Consider the following 23,285-nt stretch of genomic DNA (forward strand, 5'->3'; position numbering starts at 1 on the left):
AGGTTGTACCAATTTATTTTCCAACTATGAAGTATAAGAATTGTCTGCTTACCCATAGTTTCTTTTCTTTTTTTTTTTTTTTAGACCGAGTTGCGCTCTTGTCGCCGAAAATGCAGTGCAATGGCATGATCTCGGCTGACTGCAACCTCTGCCTCCTGGGTTCAAGCGATTCTCCTGCCTCAGCCTCCCAAGTAGCTGGAACTATAGGTGTGTGCCACCACGCCTGGCTAATTTTTGTATTTTTAGTAGAGACAGGGTTTCACCATCTTGGCCAGGCTGTTCTCGAACTCCTGACCTCATGATCCACCAGCCTTGGCCTCCCAAAGTGCTGGGATTACAGGAGTGAGCCACTGCGCCCGGCCCACCCACAGCTTCTTGAAGCATTTTTCCACAAGTTTTAATGAAAAAGGAAATGAGAAATCACAGGAGAAAAACTAAAATTCAAAGTCCAGTAAACTGGCCAAATTGGAGTAATTAATTCTTATTAACCAGAAATGGAACAAGGCTCTGATATCTGCATAATTTTGAGCTGGATTTATCAGGGTATTTTCCTAGTTTAATATACAAATGAGATGAGGGACCCTTTAGTTTAGGCCCAAGTTTGCCTGGTGATCTTTTGTGGCTCCTGTCCCTACAATGTTAGATAATGTTTCCCCCTCTGAGAGTTGTGTGGCTTTCTTAACAGCATTGAATAGATAGCATATCAGATTCCAACTTCATCTGGAGGATATGGCACTAATAGTGATATGGTGTGGCTTTGTGTCCCCACCCAAATCTCATCTCGAATTGTAATCCCGGAGGGACCTGGTGGGAGGCGACTGGATTATGGGGAAGCTTTTCCCCATGCTGTTCTCATGATGGTGTGGGAGTTCTCACAAGAGCTGATGGCTTTAAAAGTGTTTGGAAATTCCCCCTTTGCAGCATTAATCTCTCGCCTGGCGCCATGTAAGTTGTGCCTGCTTCCCCTTTTGCCATGATTGTAAGTTTCGTGAGGCCTCCCCAGCCATTTGGAACTATGATTCAATTAAACCTCTTTCCTTTATAAATTACCCAGTGTCAGGGAAGTTATTTATAGCAGTGTGAAAATGGACTAAAACAGATAGCAAAGCAAGTTTACACTGATTAATTACTTACTTTTGAAACTTTACAACTGTGGCCACTTTTGACTTTTTTTTTAACTGATGTTTCAGTCATTAGAAAAACAGAGAATGTTGGGGGTAAAAAGAAGTCTTATAAGTCACACATAGCTTAAATGCTGCAGCTTTTCCCCAAATTCTGGAATCCTTTCTAAATCAGTCAGCATCTGTCTATGTGTCTTCACACACAAATACTCATTTCATTGAGGTAGATTGTTCTCTTGTTAAACAAGGAAAAAGCTTTAGAGTTTAAAAAATTATTTTGTACATTGGGTTGAAATAAAAATCTGTTGCTTTGTGCCTCTTTCCAAAGCTTTCTTCTCTGCTTAAGTGGTCACAAGGAAAAAGTCTTTGTTCCTTGTCAACAGCTCCCATAGCTTCCTCAGGTCTGCTCTTCTCCAGGAGGATTATTTTTTCTTTTTTTTCAAGACAGGGTCTTGCTCTGTTGCCCAGGCTGGAGTGCAGTGCTGTGATCATAGCTCACTGCAGCCTCAGACTCCTGGGCTTAAGTAATCCAGGAGGACGATTTTAATTGGCATCATTCCTTTTTCCCAAAAAATAATTTTAAGATGCACCACGGCTGGGCGCGGTGGCTCACGCCTGTAGTCCCAGCACTTTGGGAGGCCGGGGCGGGCAGATCACGAGGTCAGGAGATCGAGACCATCCTGGCTAACACAGTCAAACCCCATCTCTACTAAAAATACAAAAAATTAGCCGGGCGTGGTGGCGAGCTCCTGTAGTCCCAGCTACGCGGGAGGCTGAGGCAGGAAAATGGCGTGAACTCAGGAGGCGGAGCTTGCAGTGAGCCAAGATCACACCACTGCACTCCAGCCTGGGCGACAGAGCGAGACTGTACAACACAACACAACACAACACAACACAATACAACACAACCACAACACTAATTCCTCTCCTCTGAAGATACTGAAATGGGAAAAGTTCCCTTGTCCCCCTTGCAAAGCGTGTGACGGGGGAGTGGCTCGCTTCTTCAGTGCCCCGCTGCTCAAATCTCTAGGGGAGCATACAGACGGGCAGGTTGTGGGGCTCTGACCCCATGGCAGTGTCTAGGGGTGGATGTTTACAGCTCCTGAAGCGCCAACGTGCTACCGTGTGCTTTTTTAGTTTTGCTGCCTACAGGCGGCTTGTGTTAACCAGTTCAATTAGCCCCTCTACCTTGTTGCAAGGACAGAGGGCTTTCTGTATCCTGGGTTCTTGTCTTGGTGTACCAGAATAATCGGATCACACCTGGGCTTGGAGAATGAGTGCAAGGTTTTATTGAGTGGAGGTAACTCTCAGCAGAAGGGGGAAGTTATAAGAGGGATGGAGTGGGAAGGTTTTCCCCTGGAGTCAGGCTGCTCTGTGGCCTGGGCTTTCCTCCGACTGCCCCAGCCAAACTCCAAGCCGTTCTGCTTCTACCAGTCAGTGGCATGCAAGTTCCTGTGGATGTGTTCCTCTCAAAGTCCAGCCGCTCGTGTGTTCCTCCACTGATGTGCTTCTCTCGACGTCCAGCCGCCTATGTGTCTCCTGCTAGGGTCTTGGGGGTTTTTATAAGCACAGGATGGGGGCATGGTGGGGCCAAGGTGGTCTTGGGAAATGGAACATTTGGACAGGAAAACTAAAATGCTTGTCCTCACCTAGGTCCATGGGCACAGGCCCGGGGGTGGAGTCCTCACCAGGGATCTGCCCTTCCCTTCCCAGCACTTCCCTGCCCCCCTTCCATATCAATATTCCTGCTCTAAGATTTAAAAAGATGTCAAGCATGAAGACTCCTTTAAGGGCAGTCTTTCTGCTGATCCCCACATGATAGTAGGTGTATTTTTAGGACAACTGATTCAGAGCATGCATAATGACAAGAGCTGCTTTAAGTTCAAGAATGTTTTGACAACATTCATAGGACTATGTATTCACAATAGCCAAAGCTAGAAGCAACTCAAGTGCCCGTGGACATATGAATGGATAAACACTGTGGTATGGACATATAATGGAATATTACTCAGACTTAAAAAGGAAGGAAATTCTGACACATGCTACAACATGGATGAACTTTGAAGACGTTATGCTGAGTGAAATAAGCTAATCACAAAGGGACAGTTACTGTATGAATCCATTTATGTAAGGTACCTAGACTAGTCAAGTTCATAGAGACAGAAGGTAGAATGGAGGTTGCCGGACCAAGGGGAGAGAGGAAAGGGAAGTTACTGTACAGAGTTTCGATTTGGGAAGGAGAAAAAGTTCTGGAGATCGATGGTAGCAATGGTTGCACAACAATGTGAATGTACTTAAAGCCACTGAACTGTACACTTAAAATTGCTAAAATGGTGAATTTTAAGTTATGTGTATTTATCACAATGAGAAATATAATAGCCTATCAATCACAGCAGCATCTCCAAACATTTGAAAAGTAGTTGTATATGCATCTGAAATCTATTATTCATACAATCGACAGTTTTGCCCCACCTTCGAAATCTTCAGTCATTCCACAGCGAGCCTCTGAGGGCCATTTGGACTTTCTTTGGGCACAATTGATTAGACCAAGAATGAGCGGTTAGCCCCAGTTGGACTATTCAGAACCTTGTCCTAAGAATTTGGAATTTGATTTTAGAAACTTGTTATTAGTCTCTGTGTAGAGGTAAAGGTGAGGTAATATTGTTGGGAGTTATAGGGCAGTCATCTTTTTCCATGTTCATTTTTTATTCAACAAATATTTATTTTTTGTCTACTCTGTGGTAGGCATTGTGCAGGATGCTGGGATTCAGTGGCATCCCTGCCCTCCTGAAACAGAGCAAGCCTGACCGTAGGGAGATGATCTCTAAAGTTATTTCTCATATTTTTGTTAGACCTGATGTTTTGCACACTGTTTTCTAGTAAATGAACAACACAGTATGCCATGATTTTTTAAAATTACATTTAACTTCCTCTCTATTTTTTAGCACGTTTTTCAGCACCAGGACAAGCATCATTGCTCAAGGAGAGCTTGGTTGACAACAGGAAGTTAGAAGGAGTCTGAATTGTAACAAGTGTGGCAAGAGCACCAAGATCACTGTGTGTGTGTGTTCACAGAAAATGTACCAAAGGTGGGTGTTTTGTTTACCAGTGGCAGCAGCGCCACCACGTGGCAAAATAGTAAATGATGTTTGTAATTTCTATGCCTGCCTGCATAGAAATTACTCAATTCTTGAAGGAAAAAAAAAAGCAAAAATTGGGCATGAAAGGGGATCTGTATTATTTCACAATTGGTACTTAAGGGGAGACTTTTAAGTCTGTTTCAAATTAGCATAATTGGAATCTTCTTAAAGTGAGGCAACACTGTGCTAAGGTCTTCATCCTGCCCTCGCAGAAGTTAATTAACCCCAGAGGTGAAATCTTGAGAGCTGGACAGACACTCCCAGTGGTTCTAGAGTATCCTTCATTAGGTCTTTCCTGACTTCTCCCAAACCAATCTTCTCCTGTGTTTCCATAAAACTGTTTCTGGTGCTCATTTCATTCCTTAACAAATATTCATTGAGTACCTGCATGGTGCTTACTCTGTTCTAGGTATTGCAGATGCAGCAGTGAACAAATCAAACTAAAATTTCAGCCTGTACTTCTTAGCATCTTATTGTGATACATCTGGGAGTGTTTTATGCCCTGCAAGCCCTTTGACAACAGGGACCTGTCTTATCCCATCCTCACTGGAACCACACCTTCTACCCATTGAATTCCCAAGTAATGATTTCAGAACTCAACTGATTAAAGATGACTATATTTATTAGGACCATTCCCAAGTCAGTTCTCTGGTGGGATCAAAGCTGTGTCCTTTCAGCCAGGGACAAAATACAGAAACAGAAAGTTCATTATAGATCCTATGGTAAACTGAATAATGGCCCTCCAAAGATGTCCACACCCTAATCCCCAGAACCTGCAAATATATTGCCTAACATGGCAAAGGGACTTTGCAGCTGTGATTAAGGCTCTTGAGATGGGAGATTATCCTGGATTGTCATAGTAGAGCCAATGTAATCACAAGGGTCCTTATAAGAGGGAGGGAGCAGAGTTGGAGAAGAGATAAGGGTGGAGGCAAGTGTCAGAAGATGCTAATGGAGGAGAGGGCCACAGACCAAGGAATGCAGGTGAATTCTAGAAGCTGGGAAGGGGAAAGAAAAGGATTATTCTTTAGAGACTCCAAAATAAGCACGGGCCTGGTGGTACATTTTATATTTCTGACCTCCAGAGCTATAAAATACATCTGAGTTGCTGTAAGCCACTAACTTTGTGGTAATTTGCTACAGCAGCAATAGGAAACTATACAGATTTCTACCTGTCCTCCTCCTAATCTGCGTTCCACACTGCTCATTTTCACTGGTGTGCAGAGTGGGACATTTCTACTTTGTTCCCCTATTTTCCCAAGTCAGGGAGATGTCCTGGTTTGTCTTGACACAAGCCTCTAACAATGTTTCTCTAACAGGGCTGTGTGACCATTGGCATTCTTTGGTGTATCCTCACAGTCCCTTAGTTTTCTTATGAGAGTTTTAAATTCTATTCAGTTCCACAGTTAGCTAAAAAAAAGTTAATGTACAATTCAAGGTACAACCCAAAAAGTTATCCTTATCCTCATAAGAATACTAAAATCATCTCATTAGAGTCAGGAATGAGACAAGCATGTTTGGCCGGGCGCGGTGGCTCACGCCTGTAATCCCAGCACTTTGGGAGGCCAAGGCGGGCGGATCATGAGGTCAGAAGATCGAGACCATCCTGGCTAACACGGTGAAACCCCATCTCTACTAAAAATACAAAAAATTAGCCGGGCGTGGTGGCGGGCACCTGTAGTCCCAGCTACTCGGAAGGCTGAGGCAGGAGAATGGCGTGAACCCGGGAGGCGGAGCTGGCAGTGAGCAGAGATCGTGCCACTGCACTCTAGCCTGGGCAACAGAGAGAGACTCCATCTCGATAAAAAAAAAAAAAAAAAAAAGACAAGCATGTTCATTAGCACCACTCTTAACATTATTCTGGGGGTACTGGCTAATGTAATTATACAAGAAAAAAGTATAAAAATGGGAAAGGAGGAGGCAAACTGGTAATTATTTGCAAATATGATTGTATACCTGAAAGTTCAAGGGAATAAACTGAAAACCTATGTAAATAATAAAAGAATTCAGTAAACACATTACACAACATTAATATATCAATAAACAGCTTATTTAGGACATACATAAATACAAAAACTTACTATAATCACAGTAACAACAGAAAAGACAAAATACCTAACAATTAAAGTAACAGGAAATAATGCAAAGTTAATGTGAAGGAAATGGAACAAAACTTGAAAAAGAAGAAAGGTATGCCATGTTGTTTTGATAGAATCTTACCACTATAGCAATGTCAAAATAAAGCCTTATGTGTTTTAAGACCACTGTTACTAACAACTTTTGTTATTAACAGATGAAATTGATGAGGGAAAGTCTTCTTTCATTTTCTTTTCATAACTTCATTCTCCACCCAGCCTGTAATATTACCTGGTCTTGTCTCGTGAGTTTCAGTAAATATGGGGATATGTACGCTTCGCACTGGCCAAAGCCAGGTCACAAGTTAAGTGAGGCCTTATCTTTGGTGGTCCAAGTCAAGCCCACCTTTGGGTTGCCTGGCCATGGCAAGAGAGAGCTCCCCAGATTTGCCGTGTGCTGGTTCTCATGACCTGCCACAGGAACCTTGAGTCCTCCTTTATCACACTCACACACACACACACACACACACACACTCAGGAACGCTCATTTCCATTTCCACAGTACGCCATCTGGACTCTCCTAGATTTTATTAACCTTGTTGATAAAATAATTCCTACACAGTAAAGGTTTCCTTCTCACTAGGATCATAGTTAAAATGGCAATTTCTATTATTTTCAACATGGCACCAGTGTATTCTTGGGCTATATACTTTTTGACATCATTTTTAAAAAAATGCCACTGCTAATTATTATTATTATTATTATTATTATTATTTTTTGTAGAGACGGAGTCTCGCTTTGTTGCCCAGGCTGGAGTGCAGTGGTGTGATCTCAGCTCACTGCAACCTCTGCCTCCTGGGTTCAAGCATTTCTCCTGCCTCAGCCTCCTGAGTAGCTGGGACTACAGGTGCACGCTGCCATGCCCAGCTAATTTCTTTTGTATTTTAGTAGAGAAGGGGTTTCACCATGTTGCCCACGCTGGTCTCAAATTCCTGAGCTCAGGCAATCCACCTGCCTTGGCCTCCCAAAGTGCTAGGATTACAGGCGTGAGCCACTGCGCCTGGCTGCCACTGCTAATTATTATTGTCAAAGGAATCTGTATATAATCAATAAGTGAGTCAGGTAATTTTTGTGTGTGTGAGAAAGGGGGAGCAGCTGCTGTTGCTACTAAAACCTTATTCATAACACTTACGTTGTGGGGTGGGTGTGGGGCAGGCAGTCAAGTGCAGCAGAAGGAATTTTCCATTCCACACTGACCACACCTCCGTGAAGGCTGTTTCCTAATTATTCCTAGAAGCAGCTAGGATCTGTCTTAGCAGAAGACATTAAGTCTGATTTTTAGTTGTCTCTCCTTTTATCTTCTTTCTTCAGAGCCTAGCACAAGCTAGAAACTCAATAAATGCCAAAGAAGCAAATGGAGTGTTCCTTTTACCAGCCTATATCCTGAAACCCAGAGAGCAGGGAAAAACTGTTTAAAAACTGTCTAGAATGAAAATGCCACCAAGTAGGAGCAGTCCATTGGCACAATACAGGAGGCTGTAGCTTTGGGGCAATCATTTTTTAAGGTCTCTATCTTTCAGCATGCACAGGTTCCACAGCTGTTTGTATTGTTAAATACTTTCTCCACTCCACTTTTTTCCTCCTTAAAGAAATCAAAACATTTTTGGTGGGGAGGTCTAAAAATTATTGTGAGCCCTAGGCACTGAGTCTCCTGTACCTTACTAACAAGTCAGTTCTGGCTGGTGCCTGGGGGAACTGGTTGGTAATGTTTTGATCATCACCCCAGGTAAGTATTACACTGTACATCAGAAGTAGAAAACTGAAATGCCTACAAGCAGGCTGGGTATGGGGAATTTGTCCACCGTGTATGATGAGTTGGTGGCTAAACTGGTGTTCATAGCCCCCTTCCCTAGAAGTCGCTGCAGGCCACCTCACCTGGATTGTCCCCCAGTGTTGCCAGACTTCCCCATTTTTCAAGAAAGGCTAGAAACCCTGAGTTTTATGTAAAATCTCTCTGTTTTAAAATGCTAGCTCAAATTTCAAAGAAAAAATCTCCCTGAATGAACCAAACAAAACATCTCAGTATTGTATATGGCACTACTTTGTAATTTCTCTTGAACGTATCTGCTGCAGGGAGAAGCCTTAAAAACAAATGGCAGGTGTGGGCACCAGAAAATCAACACATCGGGAAGAGAAAAATGGCATGGTTTTACTGTAATTGTAAAAAGGTAATACTAGTTGCAGTAAATTGCATGATTCTTACTGTTTATGTGTAGTCCCTTAGCACTAATCTAATTATTCAGATTCCATAAAATTCCATTTGGATTATTTTCATGCTATTTCACTTTCCTGAATTTGTAATTTGAGTAATAGGGCCAGAATTTCATGACGTAATAGGGCCAGAATTTCACGTATCAAGAATTCTTACTCATAATTGTGATGTTCAATTTTTTTTTTTTTTTCCTGAGATAGGGTCACTCTGTTGCCCAGACTGGAGTGCAATGGCAAGATTCCCAGTGCTCTGGTGGTCCTCCCACTTCAGCCTCCTATCTGGGACTACAGATGCATGCCACCACATCTGGCTGATTTTTAAATATTTTTTTGTAGAAATAAGGTTTTGCCATGTTGCCCAGGCTGGTCTCGAACTCATGGGTTCAAGCCATCTGCCTGCCTTGATCTGCCCGCCTTGGCCTCCCAAAGTGCTAGGAGTACAAGCCTGAGCCACTGTGCCTGGCAATGATTTTGAATTTTTAAAAGCGTACTTAACCCTTAATAAAGGCCCGTATTATTTCTAGTCACATCATATTTGTCTGACTTGCTTTGGGGCTTACAATATAAAAAAGAAGAGAGGAAAGAAGTCTGCATTCTTTTGTTTTTGACTCTTCAGGAGTATTTAGTAAAAATTATTTTTAAAATAAGTAGGACTTTGGGGATTTGACTGAAAAGCTACACATATTCACTTTCTAGTGACAAAATCAGCCTGTGGCATTGTCAGAACACCACAAGGCATACCCAGTCCCACTTCTCCTCTTCATCTCAGCTGATGATTTCACTTTCTAATCCTATAAACAGTTAAGATCTAGGCTGGGCGCGGTGGCTCACGCCTGTAATCCCAGCACTTTGGGAGGCCGAGGTGGGTGGATCACGAGGTCAGGAGATGGAGACCATCCTGATTAACATGGTGAAACCCCGTCTCTACTGAAAATACAAAAAATTACCCGAGCGTGGTGGCGGGCGCCTATAGTCCCAGCTACTCGGGAGGCTGTGGCAGGAGAATGGCATGAACCCAGGAGGCGGAGCTTGCAGTGAGCCGAGATCACGCCACTGCACTCCAGCCTAGGCGACAGAGCGAGACGTCTCAAAACAAACAAAACAAAACAAAACCCTGTTAAGATCTAGTGTGCTGAGCTCTTCAAAGTGGTAAAGTATAGGTTCCTTGGAAACAGAAGGGTCTCTGATTTAGGATTGGTGGGGAGGGAGGACTGTAAGCCTTCCTGGAGGAAGGGACATCTTCACCCAGAGTAGAATTGGATTAGACTTCAATGAGAGGGCAGGGCAAGGTTGAGGGAAGAGGCCCAGAACTGAAAAAGTATGACAGAATCCAGCAGTAGAAGTAAATTGAATTGGGTTGGAGGGTGCAAGTCATTCTAATTTCATGTGTAGCACTTGTCACTTTCAGATCATTTCTTGTTTACTGTCTGTTCTTCTACCCTCATACCCTCACAGAGAATAGGAGGCCTGGCCTGCTGATTCCTTAGTGGCTGGCATATATGTCTGTTAATCTTTCTTGAGAGCCAGCCTTGTGTCAGATCCTGTTCTAAGTGCTTCCCTCGCTCCCCACCCCCGCCATTCAACAAAATTCTACTTCTTCAGAGCTGGTTCAAATGCTTTCTTCTCTATGACCACCCCCCCCCCTGCCCCGCCCCGTCTCTTTTCCTCACTCCTACTCTCAGAATTAATTACTTCTTTCAGAGGTCCCTCAGCTATTGATCCTTCCTTGCAGCATCAATTTAATTATGCATAGTGTCAGTTTGCGGTTTCCTTGTCTCCTCCATTTCTCATTAAGTTTTAAATCATATGAAGACAGTGCATGTTTGTCTGTCTCTGTAAGCCCTACAACACTTTGGGCAGGCTTTTACACACAAAACGGGGCTCAAAAATATTTTGAATAAATGATTTAGGGAGAGGTCCACAAACGCCCTCCACTCCCACCCTAGTCCTCAGAGCAATACTTTAAAATAAAAATCTGACCATTTCAACCTTGTTAAAGGCCGATCTTCATTCTGAGAACAGAATTCTAACTCCTAAGCACGATGGTGACCTCAGGGCGCTGTGTGAACCTGCACCCGCACCCCTGTCCAACCACGTCCCTCCCCACACCTGGTCTAATAAAACGACTGCTTTAGGTGACCTGCACGATCGGCTGTACTGATTCATGCCACAGGCTTTTACCTCAATTACTCCCTCTGTCTGGAATGTCCTTTCTTTCCTTGCCTGGCCTGATTCGGGCATGGCCTTCTCAAGCAAGCTTTCCGTCTTTGAATCTAGGCCCTGATTAAGAACTTTTTAAAAAAGTACTAAGTTCAGAAAAGTTTAATATGGTGTTCCCCCATTTATGTGATTAAAAATGAAAACAATACTAAAGTGTAAAATGTAATCTTTAAAATGTCACACAACTTTACATGCATGCTAGATTTAGAATACCATCTGTATTTACGATTTTCTCTTATTGACTGTCTCCACGCGCACCCACTCTGCAGACGCCCTAAAGAGTGTCTATCGGATCACCCTCAAGTTGGGTCAAACGGCTCCTCTTCTCGGCTTTTCGGGAGCAACCCTATCTCAACATTCACCATCTTAAGATGAGCAGACTGCAAGTTTGCCTCTCCCACCAGTATGGGAGCTGCCGAAGCGGCAAGAACAGCGTTTCCGTCCATCGAGCGCCAGGTCACCAGTCAGCTCCAGTCCTATTTTGAGTTGAAGTAAAAGCTCCTCCCTAGATGGCCAGTGCACGTCTTTAAAAAGCGACTCCTTTCCCACAAAGGAAATACGACTGGTTCGCATCTATCAAGGGTTGGCGTTGGGATAAGAGGGTGAAGTATCAGCTGGCCCTGATTCTCTGAATTCCCGGACCCAATAACGCGACCAAGCACCGTGACTCCCAGGAAAACTAGCGGAGTGAGCGCGGCTGAGGAAATTACTGACACCGGAAGTCACGTGAGCGGCTGCCCCTAAGGTCGCTATCTCGACAGTCGACTATTCAGCCTTGCAGGCGCCTCTGGCGGGCTTCACTGAGATCCGCTCTTTCGGTGCTCGACTCGCCCGTGCTGCTGCCGCCGCCGAAGGAGGGGCAAAGCTCAAGATGGCGGACAAAACGCCAGGCGGATCTCAGAAGGCCAGTTCAAAGGTAATTTCTGACAAAATTTCGTAAGTCAGCGGATCTACCACTGTCGTTTGGGGCCCACAGACGCTTCTGGCCTGTGAGAGGCGATTGGGATTGGGGTCTGCATTCTAGTCGCGACGGTAGGCCCGGGCGCCGCCGCACCGTTGTGCGCAGGTTGAGAGGCCTGGTATCTCCCCATAGTCCCAGCCGGGATTCAGCTCGAGACTGGCGTGCCCAGTGGGTGGAGGCGTGAGTGCTTCGGCCCGCGCTTGGCATTGGAGTGAAATCAGGAATTCAGATTGAGGTCTGAAGCAGTGAAAACGCTCTCCTGTATCTCAGCTTCCTGCGCCCTGAGGCCGCCAGACAGCGCCTGGGAGAGAGGCGGGAATCGCTTCCCGGTGCTTAAATGTCTGCTGCTTTTTTCTCGGTTTTGGATCTCACTCACTTCCGGCCTCCCTCAGTTTCCCTCCAAGGAATGAATAACCTCTAGGGTCGCCAGCTGTGAGGGGAGGACCACTAGGGCAAAGACACGGAGTGGGAAATGCAGAGGCGGGAGCAGCTCTCCTTTGCAGTGCTGCATAGCCAAGGTTAATGTACAGTCTACACGTGGTCTTTACCTTAACGGGAAGTAAAAAGCACTTTTGAGGGTAGAGGACTCGTGGTCTCTTTCTTTATGTTGAAGAAACAGTGAAAAGAGAAGCTCCGTAGACTTGTAAGCTACATACGATTAGTAAATTGCATTTGTGTTTACAGGGAACCCTGGGCACGTATTGTGAAACCAGTGAGCTGTGGTAGTAGTTAAGCATTAGTACGGTTGGGTTCTTAGTTGCCATCTTGGGCGGGACATTTAATCGTTTTTTGGTTTGGGTTTCTGGTCTCGAATATATTAAAAGTAATTGGTACTGCCACGAGGTAGTTAAACTTTCCGATGCTGATGCAAGAAGCTGTGTAACACTTTCAGGTGCTAGGGACTGTTAAATCTTAAAGAGTGTGTGACTGTAAATCGGCTATTAGAAAGTTAAATTTACGGTAGGAGAGAAGCTTGCGTTTACAGTTCTGAGAAACATCATAACTCGTTTTCTACTTGCTTTCTCTAATCCGACTGTTTATGCCATTTGGTGAACGATGTACACCAAAATAATTAATTCATAATTAGTAATGGTCTTAACAGACATCGTTTAGTTACATAGAAACTTTGGTGAGGGGCCAGTTTCGGCTTCTTTACAAGGTATTGTGTCAGTTTTTTTTCCCCCTCCTCAGTACATTTTCTCGTCTCCCTCTCTTTGGGGGCGAGCTCTACCAACTCTTCTCAACAGACTCCTGACAAGAACATACCGTTAGGGAGCTATTACTAAAGCTAGCTACGTTCATAACAAGTCGTGCATAAGCCTCACAATTTTTGTTTCTTCTCAAAGTAATATTTTAAGTATTCCCTACTTGAGGTCTTGGATACATTGAAAACATTTCAATGTCTGTGTTCAGGCTTCCTTCTAAAATAGTGCTTCTCATGACTGAATGTATGGCTGTTCTCAATAAATAAATTATTGGATTATCCAGTAATCTTTTCTGTTTATATTGCCTTAGATTATAATCTCTTGATGCTATTAGCAGATTTCTTACTGATGTCTGTGAAAGGAATCAGAATATCTTAACTAATTTGGAGGCTGCATAATGTAGTGGGAAGATTATGAATTTTGTTAACAAGAGATTTGGGTTCAAATCCTGACTTGGTAATTAATTATATTTGCGATAATAAGGCAGATTGCTTAAACTCTGGAGCCTCAATTCCCTCATTTGTAATGTAGATATAATTCTTTTTTTACATGGTTGATATAAGGATCAAATGAGATAATGTCTATGAAGTACATAATAAATCTTAATTTCTTTCCCCTCTTTTTGTTTTTAGAGGAAATCAAAAGTTCTTAGCTTTCAAAATGTCAGGATAAATTTTAATCCTGTGATTTGGAATCTAAGTCATCAGCTGTCATAATGACTGCCCAGATAGCTGCTTTTTATTTATTTTATTTCTTTTTTTTTTTTTTTTTTTTTTTTGTGAAAGAGTTTCGCTCTGTCGCCCAGGCTGGAGTGCTGGAGTGCAGTGGCACAATCTCGGCTCATTGCAACCTCCGCCTCCCGGGTTCAAGTGATTCTCCTGCCTCAGCCTCCCTAGTAGCTGGGACTACAGGCGCCCGCCAGTACGCCCGGCTAATTTTTTGTATTTTAGTAGAGACGGGGTTTCACCATGTTGGCCAGGATGGTCTCGATCTCTTGACCTCGTGATCCACCCGCCTCAGCCTCCCAAAGTGATGGGATTACAGGCGTGAGCCACCGTGCCCCGCCCTGCTTCCCTGCTTTTTATTTCTAACACATAATTTATTAGAGAAATTGTAAGATCATTTTGGCTAATACTACAGTATTTAGAATTTCTAGCCTTTGATATCTGGTTTGATTTCCTTTCCTCTGGAAAGAACAGATGAGTGGCTTATATTTTACAATACAGATGGAGTGAACAGATACTTCTGTTTCATGATTCGTCGTTTTCTTTGGTAGTTACATTCCCGTTAATATGGATAGGGATGCTTATTATATTTCTAGACATTGGGAAAATGTTAATTTTAAATGTACAATATGGCAAAATTATTAACATTTCTTAATTATAAAAAGATTAAATTAGATAACCTCTACAGGTCTTCTAGTTGGGGTGTTTTTTTTTTTTTTTTTTTTTTTTTTTTGAGAGGGAGTCTTGCCTTGTCGCCCAGGCTGGAGTGCAGTGGTGCAATCTCAGCTCACTGCAACCTCTGCCTCCTGGGTTCAAGCAATTCTTCTGCCTCAGCCTCCCGAGTAGCTGGGACTACAGGCGCCTGGCCAATTTTTGTATTTTTAGTAGAGATGGGGTTTCATCTGTTGGCCTCTTGACCTTGTGACCCCCCCCCCCCGCCTCGGCCTCCCAAAGTGCGGGGATTATAGGCGTGAGCCACCGTGCCTGGCTTCTAGTTTTAAAATGATACTTTATGTATGTGTATGTACTTGAATGACTTACCTTTATTCATAATTGTCCCTAATGAAGAGACCCCTGTGCACTTTAATTTTCTGTGTAATTTTGTTGTGCTTTGCATTTTAGAGCCTGGCAGATGTAGACATTTAACAAATGTTCTAGAAATGAGCTAAAATTTTCCTGTGCATTTGTTTGTTTATCACTAGTCTAAAATATTGCTTGGTTGGGGAGGGGTGTTGATGTTATGTAGTAGCTTTCATTTTGAGAGGAGAGAGAGAGAGCCTGTAATTGTTTACTTATAAAATTGTTAAGCATATTTCCTTAGAATTTAATTTATAAAAAAATTACTGTTTTTGACTGTCAATTGTTTGCTTACTCAGCAAAATTAGGATATGAAGAAAATGTAGTATTTTCTTTCCTTCTGCCATCTCCTGTGCTGGTAATATTGCTAATGTAATGTAATTGTGTGCCCTGCTATTTCACTCTGTGACTATGGCTTTTTTTTTTTTTTTCTTTTTTGCCGTATCGCCAAAAATTGAGTTAGGTGAATGGATAAAACAAAATACTACAGGCTTCCTTGGACATCCAGTGCTGAATTGCTTTGGGAACTGTTTTGATTGACTGCCTTTGCTGATTAACAAAAAGTATCACTTTTAAGAAATAAGTAAACTGAGGACCTGTTCAAGGCTTGTGAACCTTAGGTATTTATTACTGCCAGTTTTCATTTTTTGTGGTACCTGAAAGTTTATGAAAAAGTCCAAACAAAATACAAACCTTGAAAATCAGGCTTTCAAACAGTTTGCCAATTTTAAACTGAATCTTTATTATGGTTTATGGTTGTAACCTTATCTTAAAATGTAAGGTAGTTTTTTTGGTAGAAGGTTTTGTTTTGGTCTGGAAGGTAGAACTGAACTTCCTTCCATTTTCTCGATTGATAACTTTTTCGAAACTTGAACCTGCAGCACGGGTGCTAGAATATGCCTGTTGGTATGGTTTTAAAAATAATTCCTATCTTTCTGGATTGAATTGTTTTCTGAAAGTCCAGTTTTTATTTTCACTTTTTGTTTTTTATTTCTGAAGCTTTGTTTTCCTTGGAAAGTAAACCTAAGAAAGATACCCATTTGCCTTACTGGGTATCATTGAGAGAAGAGCTCATTTAGTATGCCGGTTGAAGTATCTACCCCTCTACCCTCCACCCTTTTTTTCAAGGAGCCATCATTTTTGGAATAAAAAGAAAAACTTGCTACAAGATATTAAAATCAAAAATAGTAATATTACAAACTATTTGCCTCATTCTAGTATAGGTGGTTTTAACATTTTATTGCACATCAGCTGTGAGCTGGATATTTTGCTGAAATAACGTTTTTGAAAGCAAGATACATTTGTCAGTAGCACTTGAGGCTAACGGTAGTGTTAGACATATATTCCTTGAGTTAAGTTTTTTCACAAGGCCCTTCCTCAGTTTAGATAAACTATAGGTTATTCAGAGTGTACTTACAACTTTTCATATAGTATTGGTAGTGTTTTGAATAATTTAAAAAATCATCTTAGGTTTGTTATTTAACTTTATTTATATAGTGCTTGTATTAATGATTTTGTGAATGTTTTTTAAAGATGGATACCTTGATTTGGCTTGGATAGTGGTATTAAGCTAGGTAGCTGTTGTTAATGAGTGGACAGCATAGTATGTTGATAGTGTGGAGTGTAATTTTGTTTGGTGGTAGGCACTTGTTCTGACAAGTCAAGTATATTGAGACTCTGTCGCTTGCCAGATCTTGTGCTTGATGTTGAGTTAGAAAATGTTAAATAAGAATGTACCCATTTTTAGCGGCCGGGCACAGTGCCTCCCGCCTGTAATCCCAGCACTTTGGGAGGCCAAGGCGGGTGGATCACCTGAGGTCGGGAGTTCAAGACCAGCCTGACCAATATGGAGAAACCCCATCTCTGCTGAAAATACAAAATTAGCTGGGCATGGTGGCACATGCTACTCGGGAGGCTGAGGCAGGAGAATCGCTTGAACCTGGGAGGCGGAGGTTGCCGAGAGCCGAGATCATGCCATTGCACTCCAGCCTGGGCAAAAAGAGCGAAACTCCGTCTCAAAAAAAAGAATGTACCCATCTTTGAGGAGCATGCTGTCTAGTAGAAGAGAGTCAGCACAATGCAATTAAGGTGGTGTTATGCTTCCTATAGGAGAGATTGTTAAACTTGTGGAGATGAAAGTTGCTTCTCTTAGAGGGTGAGAGGAGAAACGTGGGAGATTAGGAGACAGATACACGAATGGAGAGCTCACTAGGCAGAATGGTAGTGTTGGAGGAATGTTGCTGTGGATAGCTTGGTAATTTGGAAACTCAGATGTGGGGTTTTCACTTAAAGTAAAATTGGAGCAGCCAGAAGAAAACTAGTTTTGTTCTCAGCCAGCAAGCTATAGGGCAACAGGTAGTGTAGTTGGCTTCACTTTTATCCCTTTAGCAGCCATCAGAATGATCTTTTTTCCTTTTGGATTTTCTTGCTGTCCCTCCCCACATTTCTACTGTCTGCTTTCTCTGCCTTAAAATAAATTTCTCTTGTGTATGCTACTTTATTGTGTCAAACTTCCCTTAGTCTGCCTTTTCACTTCTTCCTTTTGTATTTTTCTTTTCTTTTCTTTTTTTTTTTTTCCAGAGACAGGGGTTCTTGCTATGTTGCCCAGGCTGGTCTTGAACTCCTGGCCTCGAGCAGTCGTCCCACCTCAGCCTCCCTAGTAGCTGAGATTATAGGCATGAGCCACTCCCTCCAGCAGCTTTTGGGTCCTTTCAAGAGATTTTTTTTTTTTTTTTTTTGAGACAGAGTCTCGCTCTGTCGCCCAGGCCTGCAGTAGTGCTATCTCAGCTCACTGCAAGCTCCGCCTCCCGGGTTCACGTCATTCTCCTGCCTCAGCCTCCCGAGTAGCTGGGACTACAGGTGCCCGCCACCGCACCTGGCCAATTTTTTGTATTTTTAGTAGAGACGGGATTTTGCTGTGTTAGCCAGGATGGTCTTGATCTCCTCTGACTTTGTGATCCGCCCGCCTTGGCCTCCCAAAGTGCTGAGATTACAGGCGTGAGCCACCGCGCCCGGCCGACTTCAGGAGATCTTTAGGCATCATTGGTTTGTGTTCTTCAGTTAAAAATAAAAAGCCAAACTCAAGACAAAGAATACAGTTCAGTTCCAGGTTAGGAAGAGGGAGAAGCTCAGCTTCTGAAGTAGTGCTATATTTACTGTTTACCTTGACTGTTATCTTTAGAAGTTGATGATTATTTTAAAAATTGTGTTAACTGCTGTTTGAACTGTTAAAGTTCCGTGCTGAATGCTATGTAGCTGTAGGTATGTATCAGTGGAAAATGTCTGGTTTGCAGTAAATGTGATTAGTGACATCTTAAGCTAACTGAAATCAGCTGGTGCATTGTCCTACACCGGTGCATTGTGCTACACTATGCTGTTACTGCTCTGTTTGCAAATTTATCAAATTGTGTAATTTTGAAAGCTGACAAAATTGTTACTTTTGAACTGATTATTTTTGTATTAGAGATTATTTAATTTGGTGAATGGTTACGCAAGTGAGATCCTTGAAGATTATAGAGCTTCATCTTTTGATGACTTGGAGTCAGGGAAGAGTTAACTATATGGAAATAGGCAGAATGCCTAGGTTCTTGTATCTTTTGTTTTTAAATCCTAGAAATGATGATTTGGATGTGGTGGCATCAAAGACTACAGAAAGGGTAGCGCTTTCTTAGTTATTCTTTTGGATGCTTATTCTTTCTGGGTGAACTTTAGAATTGTTTTGGCAATTCTTTTGCCCCCTTGCAAATATTTCCCTTTGGAATTTAGAGCGGTTGAATGAAATTGTATTAAATATGTAAAGAAATTTAGGTGTCATTGACATTATCTTAATATTGAATTTTCCCATCCAGTAATATGAATCTTTTGAAAAGGTGGCTTGAGTAACTGGATTTTTCTCGAAGTTTTTGTTTTCTTCACAAGGGTTATATACATTTCTTAAATTGGTTTCTAGATGTTTTTATATTTTTTGTTGCTTTTATGATTAGGATGTTTTTGTTGCTTAGCAAGTTAATACTGGTGTATTGGAAGGCAATTGAGTTTTTTTTGTTACTATTGTTTGTTTTTGATATGGAGTCTCTGTCGCCTAGGCGGTAGTGCAGTGGCGCGATCTCAGCTCACTGCAAGCTCTGCCTCCCGGGTTCACACCATTCTCCTGCCTCAGCGAGTAGCTGGGACTACAGGCGCCTGGCTAATTTTTGTATTTTTAGTAGAGATGGGGTTTCACCAGGTTTGGCCAGGATGGTCTCCATCTCTTGATCCACCCGCCTCGGCCTCCCAAAGTGCTCGGATTACAGGCGTGAGCCACTGCACCTGGCCCAGGCAGTTGATTTTTTTCAGTCCCTTCAGCCTCTTGCCTGAACTTGTTTTTCTTTTGTAAGAGTAGTTATTTATTCTTTTGGATTTTTAAATTTCTAGATATTTGTAAATTTATGCATTTCAAGATATGTTTCAGGGTGTGTTTCATAGTTAATAAATACTAAAAATTTTCTTTTATACCACCTTGACATTTAAGAAAGATTAGCCGCTAGAAGAAAATCAGGGTGGACACAAAAGTTGGGGACAGAAAAACCATGGACAGAAAGAGTGAGATGGGGCCGGGTGCGGTCGCTCATGTCTGTAATCCTAGCACTTTCAGAGGCTGAGGTGGACAGATCACCTGAGGTCAGGAGTTCGAGACCAGCCTGGCCAACGTGGTAAAACTCCGTCTCTACTAAAAATACAAAAATTAGCCAGGCATGGTGGTGCGTGCCTGTACTCCTAGCTACCCAGGAGGCTGAGGGAGGAGAATTACTGGAACCCGGGAGGCGGAGGCTGCAGTGAGCCGAGGTCGCGCCACTGTACTCCAGCCTGGGAGACAGAGTAAGACTCTGTCTCAAGAAAAAAAAAAAATGAAAGAAAGAATGAGATGGGAGGGGTCCCAGTGCTTGGTTGTCCTGTTGTCCTGGGCTGATTTTTGCCTATGCTAATGCGCAATACAGTGGAGTTCAGAGGAGTAAATTGATTCAGTGTAAAAATCTTACCAGCTGTTCTTAGCCTTATGTCTGGACAATGTAAATAAAACAATACTGTATGGATCTTTGCTCTTTTTTAAATAACATGAATCTTCAGTTTTTCTCTTAAACTAATATTTTATCTTGTACTTTATATGACATCTTGTCTGGGAGTTGGGGTCAGGTGAGATATTTGTGATCTCAATATTCTTGATTTCATTTGAACATTTGACACTTAAATATATAAATAAAAACAAGTAAAATTTCACTACCGTATACCCTCAAAAATAAAAACAGCTCAGTGACAGTTATATTTTGGATCCCCAAGTAAAAATTCTTGGAGAATCTTTCTTTCAGAAAGATAGCATACATTATTTAGTTAATCGTCCTACAGCTTGTCATCTTTGTCTTTACATGTGTAGTGGCAACAAGTTATTGCATACCATGTATAATCTGATAGGTAGATCACTTAAGAAAAGTTGAAGTTTTAACAGTTGACATCACTGGAAGATATTATATGAACTCTTTCTCATGCCACCAGGCAGCCTGTGACATGCTATCGAATCATCTCCCTTAAAACGAGTTGTAAATGGTGCCTTATTGGGGATTTGATAATATTTTCTGGAACTTTGCAGAATTTGTACCTTTTAATAGACAGCAAGGATTTATATGTGGATTTCTTTATGTGGCTTTGGGTGATTAGAGAAAGAGAGTTCTCGTGCTGTGGACCAAGAAGTTGCTGGGCAGTGCTGTGGCAGTAAACGATGCATCTATGATTAGGAAGAGCTTTTGCATAAAACTGTGTAAAAATGGTGGTTAGGTTTCCAGTGTATACTATAAAGAGGTAATTTTGCCTCATATATATCCCACTAGTGTTTATTATATTTTTGGAAATATGCAGGCTGAATTTTAAAGAAATGACTTACACATTTACTTTGTATCACAATCTTTTCATAAGTCAGAGACTGCCTTTGCTCAGTTTTATTAGCTGAGGAGAAATTGCCAGAAGTTAGGAAACTCTTAAGTTTGTATAACACGAGAGACATGTTTTGTTAGTATAAGACATTTTAAATTATTGACTTTTATTTTTGATACTTGTAGACGAGATCATCAGATGTTCATTCATCTGGATCTTCAGATGCACATGTGAGTATAGAAGGCAATCTTTGTCTTTTTTCCTTTAAAATTTAACTTCTCCTCATATGTATCCCTACATCAATGATTTTACTTGACAAATAAATACAATTGTATGTGCTTTTTTCTTTTACTCTTTTTTTTCTAGGCGCCTTCCTTTTTTTTTTTTATGTTCTGCTTGCATAACTTAGCCCTCTGAAGCGATGTTAGAAACCTAGTATGTATATTTCCTTATGATTTTTATTGTGTAAAAATCTGTACATACATAACGTATCTATACTTATACTTTGACTATGGGATTGCATTATGCATATGCCTTTCTCACCGCACAAAACATATGTTGGAAATCCCTGCAGGTAAACTGTTAACAGCTCTAATCTGTTCTTTCTTAAGGCATCATAATGTTCTGTGGTGGGGAAGTGCAGTTGTTTGTTATTTCTTTGTTGATGGGCATATATTTTTTGTTTAAAGCTTTCAAGTAACATTTTGGATAGATAATACTACAATAAGTATTTTTTTAATATATGTTATTACAGCAGTGTTCAAAGTGTAGTCTGAAGACCCCTGGAGTCACTGAGAATCTCTGAGAAGGGTCTGTGAATTCAAAACTATTTTGTAATAATACTAAGGCATTATTTATGCCTTTTTCACCATTTTGGCATTTGCACTAATGCAAGTGTAGCTGGAGGTACAAAAGCATTTGGTGGGTAAACTGTTGGCACTTCAGCACAGATCAAGGCAGTGACACCAGAGTATACTTGTAGTCATTATATTCTTCCCCACCAGGCACAATAATTTCACTTAAAAAACTAGCATAATTAGAAATAATTTTTACTGCTTGATGATGCAGTAAAAGTTACTACTATTTTACTACTTCATCAAGCAGTAAAAATTATTACTATTGTCTTCATCTTTTGTGTAGTTCGTCTTAATATTCTGTGTGATAAAATAAGAAGTACGTATAACACTTATGCTTACCAAAATGTGATGTTTGTTTGAGTTGAGAAATGAAACTAGCTGCTTTTTTCATGAAACACCAGTTTTACTTGGGAGTGACTGACAGGCAAACTATGGTGAATCAGACTTGGGGATTTTGGCAGACATTTTCTTGAAAATGAAGGTAACGAACCTGTTACTTCAAGGAAAACAACTGTTACCAATATAAAATTCAAGCTTGTGAGTTAGAGTTATTGAAAACTTTCCCTGTTCTTAAGAACTTTTTTGGTGAAATCAATGGTGATATTAAGGGATGTGATATTTTGATAATCTACAATGAAATTTGTCAATATCTGGCATGGCTTATTCCTAGTTTTCAGTGCTATATATGTATATATGTGTGGTTTGTTTTTTTCTCTTGTTTTACTTTTCCTGAAGATGGATGCATCTGGACCCTCAGATAGTGATATGCCAAGTCGGACACGACCTAAGAGCCCAAGAAAACATAATTATAGGAATGAAAGTGCCCGTGAAAGCCTTTGTGATTCTCCTCATCAGAATCTCTCAAGAGTGAGTATAGATAAGATAAGGTAAAGATAAGAAAGGATAGTTAATGATTTTAATCTGTCTTTGACTGAATTTAGTGGTCGAATATTTGGTTTTGTATGTGTTTCATCTTATTCTATTTGAAAATAGCATTCTTTTTGTATTTGGGATAACAGTAAACTCATTTATGTAGGGACATCTTTTTAGCTCAAATGTGAGATATTTCATTTTAGAGTTTTAAATTTTATTTGAAAAACAAAGTAGTGTTTGGATTTAAAATGGTTAATTGTCAAGTTTATCTTTCCCCACTTAAACATTTATTGAACCAAGTGCGAAATACCAGTTACTGGAAATGCACAGATCATTGAAACACTGTTCGTGTTCCCACTGAGCTTATAGTCTCACTCTGAAAGCAAACAGGAGCAGGTGCTATTCACTCTAATGAGTGCAGTGCCCAGGGTAATACAGGAACACAGAGAAGGAGCTTCTTCACTTTTAGATCTCTAAAGTGCTCTCAGGCTCTTTTAGACTTTTATTCTATGTCAAGTAATATTTTCTTGTGGTTAAATTTGTAACATAACACAGTCATCACCAGCCAGTATTAACCACTGGTAACAAAGTATTTTTCTTGTTTAATATTTCTAGGCATAAATATATTTTTACTTTGCCTAGATTTATTTTTATAAGAATCCGTTTTAAAATATCCTGTTTTTAGTTATAAATTTTTTTTCATTTCTGCAAGAATTCTGTAAACAAACTTTTAAATGATTGCTTATATTGTTTATTTGAAAAATACTCCATAGTTTCCTTTGCCACATCTCTGTTGGGTATCTGAATTTAGCTCTTAGGGTATAAATAAAATTTGAGCATGGTAATTTTTCATTGG

At 41.1% G+C, this 23,285-nt stretch overlaps 1 protein-coding gene and 2 long non-coding RNA genes across 6 annotated transcripts in view, besides 3 other annotated features; 2 read left to right on the forward strand and 1 right to left on the reverse strand.

The window, feature by feature from the left end:
• Positions 1–11,160, forward strand: part of PAQR9-AS1 (PAQR9 antisense RNA 1) — a 37,033-nt gene extending 25,873 nt beyond the window's left edge. The window contains exons 3-5 of the long non-coding RNA NR_125393.1: positions 4,067–4,210; positions 8,470–8,564; positions 11,097–11,160. This is a non-coding gene — a long non-coding RNA (PAQR9 antisense RNA 1). The remainder of the gene's footprint in view (positions 1–4,066; positions 4,211–8,469; positions 8,565–11,096) is intronic.
• Positions 9,078–10,078: an enhancer, noted in NCBI's record as "H3K27ac-H3K4me1 hESC enhancer chr3:142717850-142718850 (GRCh37/hg19 assembly coordinates)". NCBI's record gives its function as "activates a minimal SCP1, AML or CMV promoter by ChIP-STARR-seq in primed H9 embryonic stem cells {active_cell/tissue: H9 hESC(primed)}" and the evidence as "EXISTENCE:reporter gene assay evidence [ECO:0000049][PMID:30033119]".
• Positions 10,915–11,537, reverse strand: LOC100289361 (uncharacterized). The gene has a single exon (NR_034032.1). It is a non-coding gene; the product is annotated as an uncharacterized LOC100289361 (long non-coding RNA).
• Positions 11,078–12,077: an enhancer, noted in NCBI's record as "NANOG-H3K27ac-H3K4me1 hESC enhancer chr3:142719850-142720849 (GRCh37/hg19 assembly coordinates)". NCBI's record gives its function as "activates a minimal SCP1, AML or CMV promoter by ChIP-STARR-seq in naive H9 embryonic stem cells {active_cell/tissue: H9 hESC(naive)}" and the evidence as "EXISTENCE:reporter gene assay evidence [ECO:0000049][PMID:30033119]".
• Positions 11,352–12,001: an enhancer, noted in NCBI's record as "active region_20646". NCBI's record gives its function as "activates an Ori minimal core promoter by ATAC-STARR-seq in GM12878 lymphoblastoid cells {active_cell/tissue: GM12878}" and the evidence as "EXISTENCE:reporter gene assay evidence [ECO:0000049][PMID:35858748]".
• The window catches only part of U2SURP (U2 snRNP associated SURP domain containing), a 59,156-nt gene continuing 47,510 nt past the window's right edge, over positions 11,640–23,285 (forward strand). For all 4 annotated transcript variants that reach the window (NM_001320222.2, NM_001080415.2, NM_001320220.2 and 1 more), the window contains exons 1-3: positions 11,640–11,743; positions 20,885–20,929; positions 22,292–22,423. Coding sequence is in view for 2 of the 4 variants with exons in the window: in NM_001080415.2 (NP_001073884.1) it covers positions 11,699–11,743; positions 20,885–20,929; positions 22,292–22,423 (222 nt within the window). In the remaining 2 variants the exon portion in view is untranslated. The remainder of the gene's footprint in view (positions 11,744–20,884; positions 20,930–22,291; positions 22,424–23,285) is intronic.

The sequence above is a fragment of the Homo sapiens genome, chromosome 3, assembly GCF_000001405.40.
Source record: "Homo sapiens chromosome 3, GRCh38.p14 Primary Assembly".
Taxonomy (NCBI): domain Eukaryota; kingdom Metazoa; phylum Chordata; class Mammalia; order Primates; family Hominidae; genus Homo; species Homo sapiens.